We start from the raw sequence: 16,858 nt of genomic DNA, 5'->3' as shown, positions 1-16,858 counted from the left end.
GTAGGGACTGTGTCTCTTGCTCACTACTTCATTCTCAGTAACCAGAGTAGTCCCTTTCACCTAGTAATTATATACTGAATAAATTTATGAATTCCAGTGTGTAGTTTTTGTTGAGTACTGTAGTGAGAAATCTCAGGATTACAGTAGAAGTATATGTGCCCATCGAGTAGAAATTATAACAGTATCAAGCTGGGAGATAATATAATGCCCCTCTGTTTTATTTATCCCCTGCCACCACCTTTTTCAAGATTTTTTATGGAATGAGGAATAATATGTTTAAGGTATAGACTTTTTAGAATGTTTATATGCAAAGGACCATAAGATTATATAGTAGTTCAACCTTCAAATTTTAAAACTGAGGAAACTGAGGCTTATTAGATTGTACAGCTAAGTTGTTGATAGGAAATGAGAATTTGTTCAGAGTCCTACTGCCAAACTCCCTGATGACAAAAAATTTGGTTTCTTAAACAGTCACCATACAGACCTTAAAAAAAGTTTTTTTAAAATTTATAAACATTCCTTTAAAAACATTTGAGAATTTGTGCAGTTCTATTTGTAAGGATGAATGAAAGTATAAGAATTTATTAAGAAAGGAAAATAATATTCTTTTTAGTCAGTTTGCACCACTGCCAATCCTCTTTCAATCCAGGTGTCAAATATAGTTAGGTGTTGATGTTGGAGGGGCTCTGGACTGTTGTGGCACCTCCTGTTGTAGGCTATTTAATGTAGCCTGGGATTATATCACAGATGTGCCACATCTAACATGGTGGCTAAGCCCTTGGAGGATACAGTTTGTCTCGTTAGTTGTTTCTTATATACCATCGCCTTGTGTTCTTTTGCAGTTTGTTTTCCTTGTTTTGTTTGTGGTTAGAAATATGCCATTTATTTATTTATTCATTCATTCATTCACACATGCATACATCAACAACTTTTTCTTGCGTGTTTGATATGTGGCAGGCACTTTTATAAGTATGGGGGATATAGCAGTGAACAAAAATAGGGCAAATCGTTGTCCTTATGGAGCTATGGACAAGAGGGAAAGGAAGCAGCTTGTGAAAGGGTCTAGCTGCTGGAGTTAGTAGAGTCAATTTGTGATTTTAGAAGTCCTTAGAGATCATAAAAATAAAGCAGAATTTATTGGTGAAAAATTGGAAAAGATGATGGAGATGGCATTGTAGTTAGTGAATTTGGAGATTGTCTTCTTCATTTCGTAAAATCACTGCTTTCTCTGTATTCCTACCCGCATAGTGGGTACTATTATTATTACTGCTACTTACCTAACATTTATTGAGTGTATATTATGTTATGGGCATTGTGCTGAGTGCCTTGTTTATATAGAACGCTGTAAGGTAGGTATTACACTATTTCATTTTACCCATGAGAATAACAGGACTCACCGGAGATTAAATAAAGTACTTATTCAGATAGGAAGTTTAGAGCCTTGATTTGGACCCAGAGTTTGCATATCTGTACCAGTCATGGCAAGCTAAATATGTTTATTTTTATTATCACATTGAAGGCTTTTGTGCTCATGTTTTGCTTCTTTTTCATTAACTTGCCAAAATCCTTATGATCCTGTATTTCTTAAAGTTGAACCATGTAGAACTCCATATGTAATTAAAATCTAAGCCATACATAAGTAAACTAAAATGGAAAAAAAAAGTAGTAATTTTTAAACAGTACTTTAAAATTAGATACACCAAATGTGGTAGATGTGATAATTCAGTTGAACAGAATTCATTTTATGTTCATGAACTAATAATAGAATTTGAATAAACATTTTATATATGTTTGTAAAGTGCCTAGCACAGTGCTTAGTAGTTGATCCATAAATGATAGTAATTTTATTATTTTATTTTAGTTTCCACCTCACTGGTAAAAATAGGTAATGCTTTTTTACTTAGGGGTAAGATGTCCATACAAATGCGTTAAATACAGTATTGTAATCTGATATGATAACCTCAGCAGTTATTTGCACAATATTCTCATGGGGAGCACTTCATTTTTGATGTTACTTTCATTTACCTCCAGGATTTATTTGAGTACAAGTGTATTTTGGTAATTAAGGGCTGTAGTCTTAAACTTTAGCATGCATCAGAATTCTAGAGGGCTTATGAAAAGACAGTTTGCTAGGCACTATCCCTAGAGTTTCTGATTCAGCAAGTGTGGGATGGAATCAGAGAAGCTGCATTTCTAACAGACTCCCAGCTGATGCTACTGCAGCTGGTTTGTGGACTGTAGTTTTAGAACTGCTGTTCTAGGAAGTGGTGTGACTTCTAATTATTGCTGTTCTCTTACAATTACACATATCCAGTGGTGTTAATGTGTTGATATCATTGATGTTGCTGAATTTATTGTATGGTCCTTGTGAAATAATTTAGAGAAATTTGGTTTGTATGAGTGTCATTGTGCTTATTGCTTAGGAAGTTTCCCAAAGGTTACTTTTGCATTAGAGAATTTCGAAATACAGATTTTAACTTGTTTCTAGTCCTCTTTTTTTTTATTTAAGACACAAAACTACACAGCTTTGATTTTTAGGGGAAAAGGATGATAACTTTGGAATATATCTCACAAGGTGACTTTTTTTTTTCTGTTGTAGTTGATTTCTGAGAATTCCAGAGTATCAGGATGATGTAGCAATTTAAAAATAGTAACACAAAATTTTATCTCTAGTTTTTTTCAAAAATCTTTTTAAAACTAAAATTTGATAAGCTAGTACTGAGTAGAATTTGGTGCTCATCATTCACACGTATAAAGTAGATTTCACTCAGAATTTCACTTACACCAACATAACAATTTTACTTTTCCTTTTTAAAGCATAGCTATACCTTCAGGGATATGATGGTATAGTAGGGTTATTCTCTCAAAGAAGAAAAGGCAGTCAGAAAATCTTTGTTCATGAGATTAGACTGAAATCTTCAGTGATTCAGTGATTACTGAATGCCTCTATGTGCCAGGCACTATGGCAAAAATCAGTGCCAAAGTAATTTATCTTTATCATGTACAATGAGGGGTTTTAGTGGGTTGTAACTTAATATGATCTAATTGTGTGATGAGGCTACTGAGAAATCTAATGCAATCTTATGCTTCATTAATAGAATTAGTATTGTGTACAGATCTAGGGAAGTAAGATTCTCCTGTCTTAGTTTGCTAGAGCATGTCTGGAGGGTTAGGTTTAGTTTGGAGCTAACAGATCGATTGGAGTCATTCCAGAAGTGAGGAGCCCTGCAGTTGAAAGGCGTGGTCATATTTGCATATGAGGATTGTTGGAAAATAGGGGTAATATACTGGGAGGAAAGATGTCCTTATTAGTTCCATAATGTCTGGCTTCTCTGCTGTGCTGTAACATCCACAATGACAGTGACCTGTCCATCTTGTTTATCGCTGTGTCCTCAATGCCTAGCACAGTGCCTGGTGTGCATTCAGTAAATGGACGAGTTGAGTAAGTTTGGAGAAAGAGACGATGGTTACCTTCAAATATTTGTCATGTAGATGGCTTTTTTTTTTTTTTTTAAACGGAGTCTCATTCGCCCAGGCTAGAATGCAGTGGCATGATCTCAGCTCACTGCGTCCTCTACCTCCCAGGCTCAAGCAGTTCTCCTGCCTCAGCCTCCCAGGTAGCTGGGATTACAGGAATGTATCACCACGCCCAGCGAAGTTTTGTATTTTTAGTAGAGACGGGGTTTCACCATGTTGGCCAGGCTGGTCTTGAACTCCTGACCTCAAGTGGTCCACTTGCCTTGGTCTCCCAAAGTGCTGGGATTACAGGTGTGAGCTGCCACCACGCCTGGCCTAGATGGTTTGTTAATTACTTAAATTTTCAGAGGCCAAATGGAAGCACCAGGGATGGAATTTTTTTGGTGGGCAGATTTTAATTTTACATAAGAAGAACTTTGTAAAACTTAGTTATATTTGGCAGCCAAATTAATAAGCTTCTTCATGTATTTGAATTTGGTTATTTGAAATGCTTGAGTGGAGGCTGCATGGGGATTTACCTCTATACCTGCTTTTTTGATAGATTATGGGCCAAGATGATTTCAGCTGTTGACCTTTTTGGCTATGTGTTTCTATTTTTAAATTATTTCATTTGATAGAAAATAATGTCAACTAATAAAATATTTTTTCTAACTTAGACAATTCTTGTCATTTTAGACTAAAGCAAGCCAAAGAGCTGGACCGAGAGAGGGCTGCTGCCAATGAGCAGTTAACCAGAGCCATCCTTCGGGAGAGGATATGTAGCGAGGAGGAACGCGCTAAGGCAAAGCACCTGGTGAGTATTAAAAATGTAGGAGAAATTTTCTTGCCTACAAGGAAATCTCTGATGTTTGGGAAGAGCTAAGTACTCTGTGCCAGCTTTTAGTGTTGATAATATTATTCATGTTCTCTTTGCTCAGATTTTGATTTTTGCCTTTTATAAGTAGCTTACAGTTTAGGTTTAACCATCAAGGACTTTAAAGGCAGGTAACTCTGGAAGTATTGAAGACCAACATGCAGACATGTGTACATGTTTCACACCTGAAGGATTGTTGTCTGCTTTTTTTTCTTTTTCTTTCCTTTTTTTTTTTGAGACGGAGTCTTGCTCTGTCGCCTAGGCTAGAGTGCAGTGGTGCGATCTCAGCTCACTGCAACCTCCGCCTCCGGGGTTCAAGTGATTCTCCAGCCTCAGCCTCCCGAGTAGCTGAGATTATAGGCACCTGCCATCGTGCCCAGCTAATTTTTGTATTTATAGTAGAGACGGGGTTTCACTATCTTGGCCAGGCTGGTCTTGAACTCCTGACCATGTGATCCACCCGCCTCGGCTTCCCAAACTGCTGGGATTACAGGTGTGAGCCACCGAGCCCGGCCTGTCTTCTTTTTTTGTCCTTTGCCTTTGGTTTTATTGTCTTTGAAACCTCAGGGGTCAGCAATGTAGGCTTCTTTCTCTCGTGGCTGGCAACTACCAGATGTTAGTCTGGAAGACTCTGGCAAAGGTGAGTAAGGTTTGATCAATCACTGCCTGGGGTTTAGGGAAGAGAAAATGTAGAGCCAGGGCCTTGGGGAACAGTCTTTTCTAAGATAATTTTTTTAAAAAGAAAATATTTTTTAATCTTTTAAAAGATTACATAGACATGTTTTTGTTGTTGTCTTTAAAAGTATTACTAACAGACAGAAGAAGGTTTAAAAGACACCCATCAATCTGTCTTTCTGATATAACCATGGTTTACACCAGTGTGTGTTTTCCTCGAGATTATTTTTTTCTAGGCTTTTTAACATATTGAAACATTTAGATAATGCTATAGATGGTGTTAAGCCTCATGAACATTTTCCTATGTCACTGAACATTTTTCTGAAATGTAGTTTTTAATGGCTGAATAATGTTCTGCCTTTTGTATTCAACATAATTTATTAAGCAATTTCTTATTGTTATTTGATAGATAAAAGTGGAGCTGCTCTGGGTGAAACCTGGAGTGTTGACTGCTTAGCCTCCACTTCGGCCTTCCTAGAAACCCAGATGTTACTCCTCGGAACCTTTAGTCCTCATTGGAGCACAGTTGGGAACTCACTGGACAGGGAAAATGGGACCATGGAATGGAGAACTTTGAACTGAAGAGTGAGGGGGATTTTCCTAGTTCACTAGGCAATTGGGAAACACTAAAACTTTCTAAGAAGAAGGCTCATTTCTAGTCTCTCCCATTCTTTACCTTAGTCACTTCTCTGAAAGACCAACCCATGACCAGCTGCAAACAGAGAACATGAAAGGAAGTCCATGCGTAATGAATCAGTTTCTTCAGTGACAAATCTGGGGTCCCGGTTGCATGGGCAAATAGTGAAGCCAGAATAGAGGTGGTAGACCAAGAAAGAAATGTCAGTGGACTGACTGGCAGCTGCCCTAAGAACAGTACATGTGTTGAGTGGAACAAAGGGAATAAGAGAGGTGGAAGCAAAGTCAGTCATTGTGAAAGGGGAATAATTTCAGAATTAAAGACAGTAAGTTTTGAGTAACTCAACTGAAAATTAAATTTGTTGTACGTCTAAGCTGAAGGATTTTTTGAGGAAGCTGAAAAAATATCAGGTCAGTGGGTTGAAAAGTCATTTCTATGTATATTAAAGTCTCCAAATTTGGAAGCTAAGGATGTAGTGGAGGAGGTTAATAGTGCTCATGTTTGAGGAAGGTACGAGAGCAAAACTCTTAGTTTCCAGCGGGCAGAAGAATACCTTGGTTGGCATTTCTCTTTGCCTCCCAGCTTTTACTCTTTTGAATCTTATCTTTGAAGCACTCTTTCTCCACCTCTTTTTGCCTGAATTTGGACATACTGTCTTACTCTCTTAGTTTATGGAGACCAGCAAGATTCAAAAACTCAAAAAACTCATTAAATATATACACACACTCAGCAAGACATAAAAAGAGATTTCACAAAAAAATGTGAAAGTATCAAAAGATTTGTTACTCAACATAACTAAAATATTAAGCAACATGTTTTGATTGGAATAGCATATCTGCAGTCTGTTCTGTTTTACCTAATAAATCTTGTCTATTGTCTGTCTTTACTGCTTTGTGTAGCTGGTGAAGCATGAGAAACTGGCCTCGTACATTCTGATTTGTAGATCTCTTATTTACAGATTCTGGTTGTGTGGTATAGATGACAAATTGTAGTACTCACAACTCCTGTATTTCAGCATCTGTTGTAATATTTGCCAAATAGAGCCCTCAAAGCACTTAGGGAATAAAAGTGGAATTTATGCCATAGGATGACAGCTGATTGAGAGAGTCCCTTCCTTCCCAGAGTGTTGTCAGACATTTGCATGGTCTGCCATGGCCACAGCAACATGGCTGCCAGTGACATTTAGTTATTGGGCAGTTCCCAATTTATTTACCAGATTTCTCCCTTTATTGTTGTTATTTATTATTATGGAAGACATACATATTCATTGGATCAAGATTAGAAAATAAATACAAAGGGATACTAAAATCACTCAATGTACTACAATTCAGAGATAGTTACTGTTAACATTTTGGTTTGTTGTGTTTATATTCCTTTTTACTTCCCACTGAGTTGGTATAAAACATTTGATTTTATGTGTATAACGGTATTTCTCCAAACATAGATAATAGTATACACTCTTTTGTATAACTGTTACAATAACCTTCACATTAAAACATTTAGGCCATGTGGTAAAAGTTTTTATACTGATAAATACGTTTTTGTGTGGTCACATTTTAATGGTTGTGTTTCACTGAGTTTTCCACTAATTACTAAATTAATACAAGAATATTATAGAACACTTGGAAAACAAAAAATTACAAAGAAAATCAGTATTGTTATAATTCTGTCATCTATCATTAATGTTTAGAGGTATAAAGTTCTTTCTCCCTTCCCCATATGTATATATTTTATACATGCTTTAGGGTCTCAGATTATGTATCCCACCACCCTCCAAACCAGTACTGTGCGGTGTGGACAGTGATCGCAAGCCTGCTGTTGTTTGTTAGTTCCTTGATCCCCAGCTGGAGAGGTGGGCATCTTCAGAACCCATAATTGATGTGGGAGTCACCCCAGAAAGGTTAGCATTGCTCCTGCTATTTTGGAGGGCCCCTATTGCTGCCATTCTTAATTCTAATATGTGGGACTCTTTGAGTAATGGCCAAGCATTGCTTCGTTCCTCTTTATTTAGAACTCAAATGTTGCAGTCTGCAGGAAAGTAAAGATTGTGTTTCACACATGTGAAGTAATTAAAAAGTTGTCTTTCAGGAGAGCGAGGGTGAAAGCACGGGAGCTGATGTGATGTTGGGACTGTGAAATAAAACGATTCCCACCCCTTACCCCACACCCCCCACATCTTTCTGGCTCACTAACAGCTGACATTTAGGTTTCTGTCTCCTTAGATGTGAGTCCAGGCTTTTTCTTCCCACAGTTGTTTTAGCAGCTAGCTTTATTGAAGCTCTTTGAAGGGCAAAGTCATGATGGCCCTGTTGTTGAAGTTTTAAAATAGGATCAGATCAAAACTTTCCCCTTTGGAAGAATTGCTTTAGCTGGGGAAGCTGTTAATCCCACTCTAGATTCTGGAAGAGTATACCAGCCCCTTCCTCTACTCAGCACTGAGTGATGCCAGCATTTTAATCAGTTGACTTTATCCAGAGGCTTTGGAAGAGGCAGTCTACTGATAATGATTTTACCTGCATGAAAATGTTAAAAGCAACTCACGTTCAAAATATGCTTCTTAGGATCAGGAAAGCACCTCTGTAGAAGATGAAGACTGACTAGAAGGACAGGACCAGGGAATTTGTAAAGTTAATGCAACTTGATATGTGTATTGTAAAGATCTTATATACGTGATCTAATATTTGCTGTCATTAGATTCTTTTTTGAAATTGAAGAGTAGTGAGTTAGTTTTTTTGACTTTGCAGTTATATTTTCTTTTTAAAATTCCAGTTAAAATTTTGACTCACTCTTTTTTATGTCTTACTACATTATGCTGGTTTAATGTTAGATTTTTTAAATTTTAATTATTTTTAAAAATTTAAGTAGAGACAGAGTCTTGCTATGGATCTTGAACTCCTGGCTCAAGTGATCCTTCTGCCTTGGTCTCCCAGGGTGTTGGGATTATAGATGTGAGCCACCATGCCCAGCCACATATTTCTTGTTATCATCACAGAACTATGTAGTATTTTCTCTTCTTTTCTTTTTTTTTTAAATCTAAATGTTAAAAAGAAGTCTCAATTTACTTACTTAAGGCAATATTTACTTCAAAATTCTTCCATTACTCTTTGGACAGATGTTTTATTGAGTGCTTACTGTATGAAATTTACTATGTTAGGTACTAATGATCTATGAATAAAAGACAAAATCTTGTCCTTGAGGAATAAAAGGTAAAAGATACACTAAAAATAATGTTTAAAAATGCTAAGTCTGTTATAGAGCCATGCTACTTATAGTCTTGTGAGGATTCCCACTTTTGGGAAAGCCAGGACTTTGTCTTTCTTTTAACTAATTGCTATGTTTGCATTTATTTATTCAACACGTAATTGAGTGCCTAATATATGCCAGTGCTGAGCAAACAGTAAGCAGTCAATACATATTTGTTGATTGAATAAATGACTGATTGCATCTACTGAAGCCCTGGAAATAGGAGGAGAGGAAATGGGGAAGAATAGAAAAGATTTTCTGGGGAAAGGACCCCTGAGCTGACTCTTGAAGTATGAGTAGGATTTGCTCCCAAGGTTGAGGAGTGGGATGAAACAGCCTTAGGTATTGCAGGCAAAAGCTTGGAAACGTGGGGATAGGGGGACACTACTAGAAGTTGCTGAGTGGGAATCATTGTGGCAGTTAGAACATAGTCTGTTCTTTAAGTGGGTGTGTGTGTGCAGGGGATTCACGACTTAACCCTTGCCTGGCCTGGCCCTAGGTCCTGTTTATAATTGGTACCTGATTGCCACAAAAAGCCTGCTTTGTCAGTCTTGTGGTCTCTGTTTTAACGTTAATGCTGGTCAATGGTTGTATCTAAACTGTAAAAGAGAGGGTGTATAAAGAGACATGTCCAACCTCCTATCCCTTTATGGTCGAGACCTCAGTTTTTAAGTTTCTCTGAGGTCCCCTTGGCCAAGAGGGGGTCCATTTAGTCAGTCATGGGGTTTAGGGTTTGATTTTTAGCTTACACTCTAATGAAGTATGAAGGGAAGAGCAGAGGAGGAAATGGCTGGAAGCCCAGAGACCAGTTAGAAAGCCCTGTGTTAATCCAGGTGAGAACAGGTAGTACCCAAATTAGGGCATGGTAGCAGGGATGCAGAGGAAAGAAGAGGAGTAGGAACTATTTGGGAGGTAGTATTACTAGGATTTTAGCTTTGAAGGGTTGAGAGAAATGTCAAGCCTAACTACAAGCAAGGTTTCTAGTATCAGTAACTTCATATCATTTGAAATACAAAAATTAGCAATCAATGTAAAAAACGTCCTGGGCTAAGCATAGCGTGAAGTCTGACTTCAGTGTAGCATTGAGGAGGGTCCTGGCCTCAGATACTGCACCAGTTGTTTGTTCAGCTCTGGGCAAGAACATTAGTCAGATCATTAGGTATTTTTGTCCCTTTCTGCATTGTCCTTCGTCATATATTTATTAAACACCTACTGTATCCTAGGCAGTATTTCCCAGGGATGCAAAGATGAATTAGATCTGGTTGCTTTTCTTCAGAGTCTGAAGTTAAGTGTCAGGTTTGTGGGGAAGGTTATTCTTGCCTTGTGTATTTTGTCCCAACTTAAGCTATAATTTTTGAATTTGTAAAACCTTATACTGTTTAGAAAAAAAAAAAACACAGTAAAAAAAAAAAGGATGGGTGAATGCATAAATTTAGTTTTTGAAAATTTAAGCGACTGTTTCTCCAAAATGTCACTTTTCATCCCCAGTTTGCCTTTTGTCTGAAATGCACCAGTGAAGCAATCAAGAAGAAGAATTGATTAATTTTGTGCTGTATGCCTTTCAGTTCTGTATTTTGTTTGTGCTTCAAACTGTGACAGTTGAAATTTCATGGTAAAAAAGAAAACGGTTTTGAATTTGGGATATAGAGAAAAATGACTAAATTAAAGGAAGCAGATAAGAACACTACTGCTGTCCAAGTGAGGTTCTATCCAACGAGGAAGGGAAACAACTGGGGTTGTAATTTTGAAATGATCGACATGGTTTATACTCAAAAGTTCTGTGTAAGAGAAGAGTAAGAGTGATCACTTGGGGTTTTTAGTATCACTGAAATTAGCCAGGTGAACGAAATTGCAGTGTAAGCAGTGGTTTCCCGGGTTCTTTTATTGGGCATTTAAAGATAATTTTAGAAATCTGTTGTTTTTGGGTGCAATTTAGACTTGGATTATAACCTCTGTTAAAACTCTCTCTGGTTATGTATGTTGTGTACTGGTTTTCTTGCCCTAGACACTAACCTCCAATTATTTGGATATGTGTAGAGTATTAGTTTGCTTTGAATTCCAAAAATGAAGTTAATGAATTCGAGCTTTTGCTTTTGACAACTATTGAAATATGGTATTTCCACGTTGAATTGGAAGGATTTGGGCCATTTAGGTGTTAGACATTTTTCTCAGTGTTATTGGTGAGAATGGGCTCTGGAATCCATCTGCAAGTCCCATTCTTTCTGACTCTTCTCTCTTAATAGCTTACCAGGAAATTCAAAGGGAAGCATCCCTCACGACAGGTGGGAGCCCCCTGTGCATTTGGATTTAGCAGGGTATTAGGGCTTCTGGGACAAAGTATCCAGATTCTGTTTTCTCCTTTGTGTTCTTTGTTATCACGTGTGGCCTCTACCTCCTGTGTGTTATGGCAGCATTATTATTATCAGCTGGAATGCATATACAACCTTATGAAGAGACTGTGAACCAAGTTTTCTGTGGAGTAGCAGGGCAGCTTTAGGTATGTTTGCTACTGCAGTGAAAAAGGAGAAACGTGTTTTGTTTCAGTTTGCCTGCCTAGGCTGCATGTTAAGATCCCAAAGAATGAATAGGACTGCGATTACAGATTTAAAGTTTGCTTGTATCCTGAAAACTTGCCCAGATTAATATATTTCTGAAATGTACATTGTCAGACCCGCTTTCCTCATCTAGGTCGGCAGAAATGCCTAGGTTCTTTTTTTTTTTTTTTTGAGACAGGGTCTTACTTGTTGCCCAGGCTGGAGTGCAGTGCATGATCACGGCTCATTGCAGCCTTGACCTCCCAGGCTCAAGTGATCCTCCCACCTCAACCTCCTGAGTAGCTGGGACTGGAGGCACATTCCACCATGTCTGGCTAATTTTGTTTTATTTTATTTATTTATTTATTTATTTATTTATTTATTTATTTATTTAAGAAACAGCATTTTGCCACGTTGCCCAGGCTGGTCTCAAACTCCTGTGCTCAGGAGATCCTCCCTCCTTTGCCTCCCAAAGTGCTGGGATTACAGGCGTCAGCCACAGCACCCGGCCAGAAATACCTAGGATCTTAACATCACCAAATAGCCTCTGAGAAGCTCAATATTATGCTGACTAGATATTGAGGGACCTGGAGGTGGAGAGCAGTGGAGTGTTCTGGTCCTGGAGAACTCACTGCCAAGACTCTGGGGGCCTATCCAGTCAACACGGTGTTGCCATTCTCCAAGGAACTGTGTCAGACTGTGTGGCCTTTTGGACAGTGATTAGAAAAGAAGACAGCACAGTTGAGTAGAATGCTATTGATGTTCTTGGCAACAATTAGTCATATTTAAGGACAGCTAGGGGGAATAACTCTGCTTAGAATGTGTTCTCATATTTTCTAAGTGTGATTTTGAAAATTCATCAAGTTACTTGCAAACCAGTTGGTTCAGGGCAGTTCTTGTTGAGTGGTGTCCTGTGTGTTAGCCGTAATAACTTATTGACATCCTATCACTTGGGTCATTATGGGTGTCCAGGTGAGATATGGAGAGCACTGCGTAAAAGTCCATAGGCAATTAAGGTGCAAAGGGCTGGTTATAATTCCATCACTTTATGATGACGTGGCATTCATTGTGAACATATTTACTTCATTGCCTGGTCTGTTGGAATTTTATCGAACTGACATCATAATCTCATTTCCTACTAAAGAGGCTAAGAAATACAGCCCTTGGTATTTGCTTTAACCTGCAACAAATTAAAAGTTAAGCATAATCAAGTCTGTCAGTCCTTAACAATCCCAAGTACATGTTTTGCACATTATGTTTTGAATGAGAATGTAAGGCAGATGAGCTCCTTATATTCTTACAGCAATCTTTCCAGATTGTCTTCATGGCAAGTCACACAACTGTCAGTTCTGATACAGTTCTTGTGACTTGTTTTCAACCTATTGTGCATGGACCTCAGGTTTAGTGAATTCAGTATTACATTGAACAGCAATATTATTTACCATGTGATAAACTATGTGATATACCATGTGCAATGACGCCTGCTTCATTTTCGTGTATTGGATGTTAAATTTTTCACAGTGTTGAATATCACAGCTCTGTATTCCTTTTCTGTATCCGTGCTTTTATTGCTTTGATATGATTCCTAAATGGCACTGAGTTATGCTTTTTCTGTGTTTCTTGATGTTCTGACCTGTGTCCTGATTTGGCGATGGGGGCAGGTGGCAGCTATCTTCATGTATCTTGTAACTATTCCCTTACCCATAAAGACATTGGACATTTTCTTGCTCACTCTTTTCTTTACTAACTGTAGTTTAAGGATGACTTCTCTTGAAAATACCAAACGGCAGAATTACCAAATGAAGTAAGGCTTCCGTTCTCTCAAGAGCAGGAATCTGTTTACAAACCTGCAGTATTTATTACATACCTCATTTAGCCCATTCATCATTTTAATAGAAAAATGAGTCATTTTAGATGATTCTGAAATAATTCGAGGTAAGCTACATTGCTGCAGGCAGAATATGATTTACACAGATAGCACCATGCTATTTTGAAAAAAATACAGTGGAATGATCAGCACCAATAATTTATGATTACTTGTGGTAAACTTATCAAATGTCTTCATTGTCATAGAAATTTGTTGATTAGATAAAGCATTTAGAGTTTTCTAGCTAGCTTTTCCCCCTTCTTCCATCTTTTATGACAAATGATTACAAAGTTCCATACTTACCCTCTGCCTGTTTCAAACACTGACTGTAAATTTAATTCCAGATTTGTTTTTAATATTTTCTTGATAAGAAATAACACTAGTCACTGTCATGGGCCAATTTTATTGGAGATGATAAAACCTACTCATATACATTTTCTGCTTAGAAATTAAACTTCATCCATTTACAGTTTCTTTAGCCCAGTGTATGCACATATTTTAAATCCTATCTTACCTATCCATAGGTTACATATTTGACTCTCAGGAACACAGGTAACTCATTGCCTGGAACCATAGCTCTGAGCCCCAAAGGCATCACAAAGTGATTCTAGTTAGTGTCTTGAAGCTTATGAGCTTTGCTGATAAGCAGCATCACAGTAAAAGCAATATTTGTTTTTAGATTTAGTTTTTTTTTTTTTTCATTTAACTAAGAGCCTTCAACTGTACTATCTTCTTGGGTGTTTGATATGGGCAGGACATCTATCATTGATTCCTATTAGAGATGATAAAGCAAACATTCAAAGAGACTGTGAAACTAAATGTTGCACAGAGATAGAGCCAGGGTTACAACTCTGATCTTCTGTGCCGAGGTGATCTTATTTTGGGCACAATTTAGCAAATTTAGTTTTGTTGTTGTTCTTTGTTTTTAACGTGTAATGGATTTGATTTATTACATTAGAAAGGGAAATGGACTTTTAGGCACGTGGTCAAAGCAGAAATTACTGCAGCTAAGAGTAGAAAGGGCAACTAATCGCCATGCATGTGATGCACACTCACAGGAAGTAAAACACACACACACACACACACACACACATAAAACCCATAGCATTATGAGCCTACTTAGCATAGAGGCAGGCAGCCGTAACTACTCGAATAGGCCTTGTGTGTTCTTGCTTAGTGAAATAATGTATGCACAATCATAATGCTATCAGGGATTGAGAATAATTTGTTTACCAGCGTGGGTGAGAAATATTAGCACTACCATTTCCATAGAAACCATTTTGCATTTAAAAAGTTCTGGCATGTCAAACTGTAAATTTCAGTATTTAAAAACATTCTCTTATGTGAATCCCTGTATTGCAAAAGATACTGGTCAAAGGAAGTGCTATTTGTACACTTTCGTCAAGTCATTTTTGAATTTTCTTATTTAAAGAAAGTTTGCCATGGCCTGTCATACTTTGGGAGAAGTGGTTGATATAGACACAAAAGGACCTGGTTTGTAGCAATTATCCATTCCCTTGGCCTCAAAGGAATACTAGTATATAAAGGCAGAAACTTTCTCTTTTTCTTTTGAGACTGAGTCTCACCCTGTTGTCTAGGCTGGAGTGCAGTGGCGTGATCTTGGCTCACTGCAACCTTCCGCCTCCCGGGTTCAAGTGATTCTCCTGCCTCAGCCTCCTGATTAACTGGGATTACAGGTGCACGCCTCCATGCCCGGCTAATTTTTGTATTTTTAGTAGAGACGGGGTTTCACCATGTTGGTCAGGCTAGTCTTGAACTCCTGACCTTGTGATCTGCCCGCCTCGGCCTCCCAAAGTGCTGGGATTACAGGCATGAGCCACTGTGCCCGGCCTACTCTTTTTTATGTCTAACATAAAGTCTTCATTTGTGCGGGAGGTAAGAGATGATTCAATTATTTTTGTCACTTTGAATAATAAAGAAGCATTAATCTGGGAGAATGCTTGTTGAGAGTAGAGGTGGGCTTGCTGCAATAGAGTATTTTTAGGAATAACCGTGATATACATTAGCAGTGTCTACTCGTAGTGAATTCAGTCACTTTTGTATTTTCATTGAATTTTATGAGAAATTTAAAGGAAGATATTCTACAGTTTGTTTGTAAAGCCAAGCTCTGAATAGAGTTTGAAAAACTATGCCATTGACCATTTTGGAGATTTGTTAAGTTTAAACAAACAAAAAAGGAAACAAAAAATTGGGGATGTAGTTGTATAATTGTTAATGTATTTTTCAATTATACTTTCCACTTCCAAGAATAATTATCTCAACAGCAGGTTAACTAATGTATTAAAAATTAGTTTATTTCCAAAAAATAAGCTCTTTTCTCATAGCTCTGATAGAATGATAGGAAAGAGCTGGTAACTGATTTTACTGTATGTCTACTATTGCAAAAACTAACAACTGAGTATTAACATTGCTAGATTATGTGTGTGTGTGTGTGTGTATAATCGTTTGTGTTGCATAGGGTAAAGGTAGAGACACTAGGAAATTACAATTTTTTTTTTTTTTTGAGATGGAGTCTCACTGTATCGCCCAGGCTGGAATGCAGTGGTGCAGTCTCCGCTCACTGCAAGCTCCACCTCCTGGGTTCACTCCATTCTGCCTCAGCCTCGCGAGTAGCTGGGACTACAGGCGCCCATTACCATGCCTGGCTAATTTTTTTGTATTTTTAGTAGAGACGGAGTTTCACCGTGTTAGCCAGGATGGTCTCGATCTCCCGACCTCGTGATCCGCCCGCCTTGGCCTCCCAAAGTGCTGGGATTATAGGCGTGAGCCACAGTGCCTGGCAAAAAAAAAAAAAAAAAAAAAAAAAAAATTACAATTTTAAAATTCCTTTCTTAAACTTTTTACTTTGAAATATTTTTAGCTTACGGTAAAGTTGTAAGAATAGTACAAAGAGCTTGACTCTGATTCATCTGTTTTTAGGCATTTACCACACTTTATCATTCTATTTCTGCCTACATATATTATATATATATATATTTTTTTTTTTATTTGGGGGAGGGGATCAATTGAGCATGGGTAGAAGACATGCTCATTTACCTCTTAATACTTCTGCCTCTTAGAAATCAGTGTTTCTTACATAATCAAGTATAGTTGTCAAAATCAATAAATTTAACATTGATGACTATTGTAATATTTAGCCCAGGTTTCAATTTTGTCAATTTTCTCAATAATATTCTTTATAGCAACTGTTCCTCTGGATACAGGATGTATTCTAGGATCATATATTGGCAACTATTATAGTTGATGTGTCTTAAAATTCCATATTAAACATAATTTGCAAACAGTAGTATTAAGATGAATACTTTTAACTTCAATTTATGAGTTACTGCTGTCATTGCTAGAGTTTTAGTAAGAAGAAAGTGGAATGGGCAAAAAAGAGGTGAAGAATTTCATTCAGACCTATAGATTAATATTCTATATTGTGGGTGAATTGAGGAAAAACCATTGTTTTGGAAATTTTCTTTTCATGAACTAAAAATGCTTTCAGCATCTGTATAGATCCCGTATCTTCAAAATGCAGCAGGCATCCAACTTGCATCATTAAAAACTGT

General features: G+C 37.5%; 1 protein-coding gene across 5 annotated transcripts in view, besides 1 other annotated feature; it reads left to right on the top strand.

The window, feature by feature from the left end:
• Positions 1-16,858, top strand: part of CHCHD3 (coiled-coil-helix-coiled-coil-helix domain containing 3) — a 297,221-nt gene that overhangs the window by 102,652 nt on the left and 177,711 nt on the right. For 4 of the 5 annotated variants that reach the window (NR_133671.2, NM_017812.4, NM_001317177.2 and 1 more), the window contains one exon: positions 4,153-4,270. Coding sequence is in view for 4 of the 5 variants with exons in the window: in NM_017812.4 (NP_060282.1) it covers positions 4,153-4,270 (118 nt within the window). In the remaining variant the exon portion in view is untranslated. Of the gene's footprint in view, positions 1-4,152; positions 4,271-5,414; positions 6,012-16,858 lie in introns of those variants that run through there. The other variant, NM_001317178.2, reaches the window with a different exon arrangement.
• Positions 13,676-13,970: a silencer, noted in NCBI's record as "tiled region #5703; K562 Repressive DNase matched - State 14:Gen5'". NCBI's record gives its function as "represses a minimal TATA promoter and a strong SV40 promoter by Sharpr-MPRA in K562 cells {active_cell/tissue: K562}" and the evidence as "EXISTENCE:reporter gene assay evidence [ECO:0000049][PMID:27701403]".

The sequence above is a fragment of the Homo sapiens genome, chromosome 7 (genome assembly GCF_000001405.40).
Source record: "Homo sapiens chromosome 7, GRCh38.p14 Primary Assembly".
NCBI classification, from domain to species: domain Eukaryota; kingdom Metazoa; phylum Chordata; class Mammalia; order Primates; family Hominidae; genus Homo; species Homo sapiens.
This window is presented reverse-complemented; position numbering and strand designations above follow the sequence as displayed.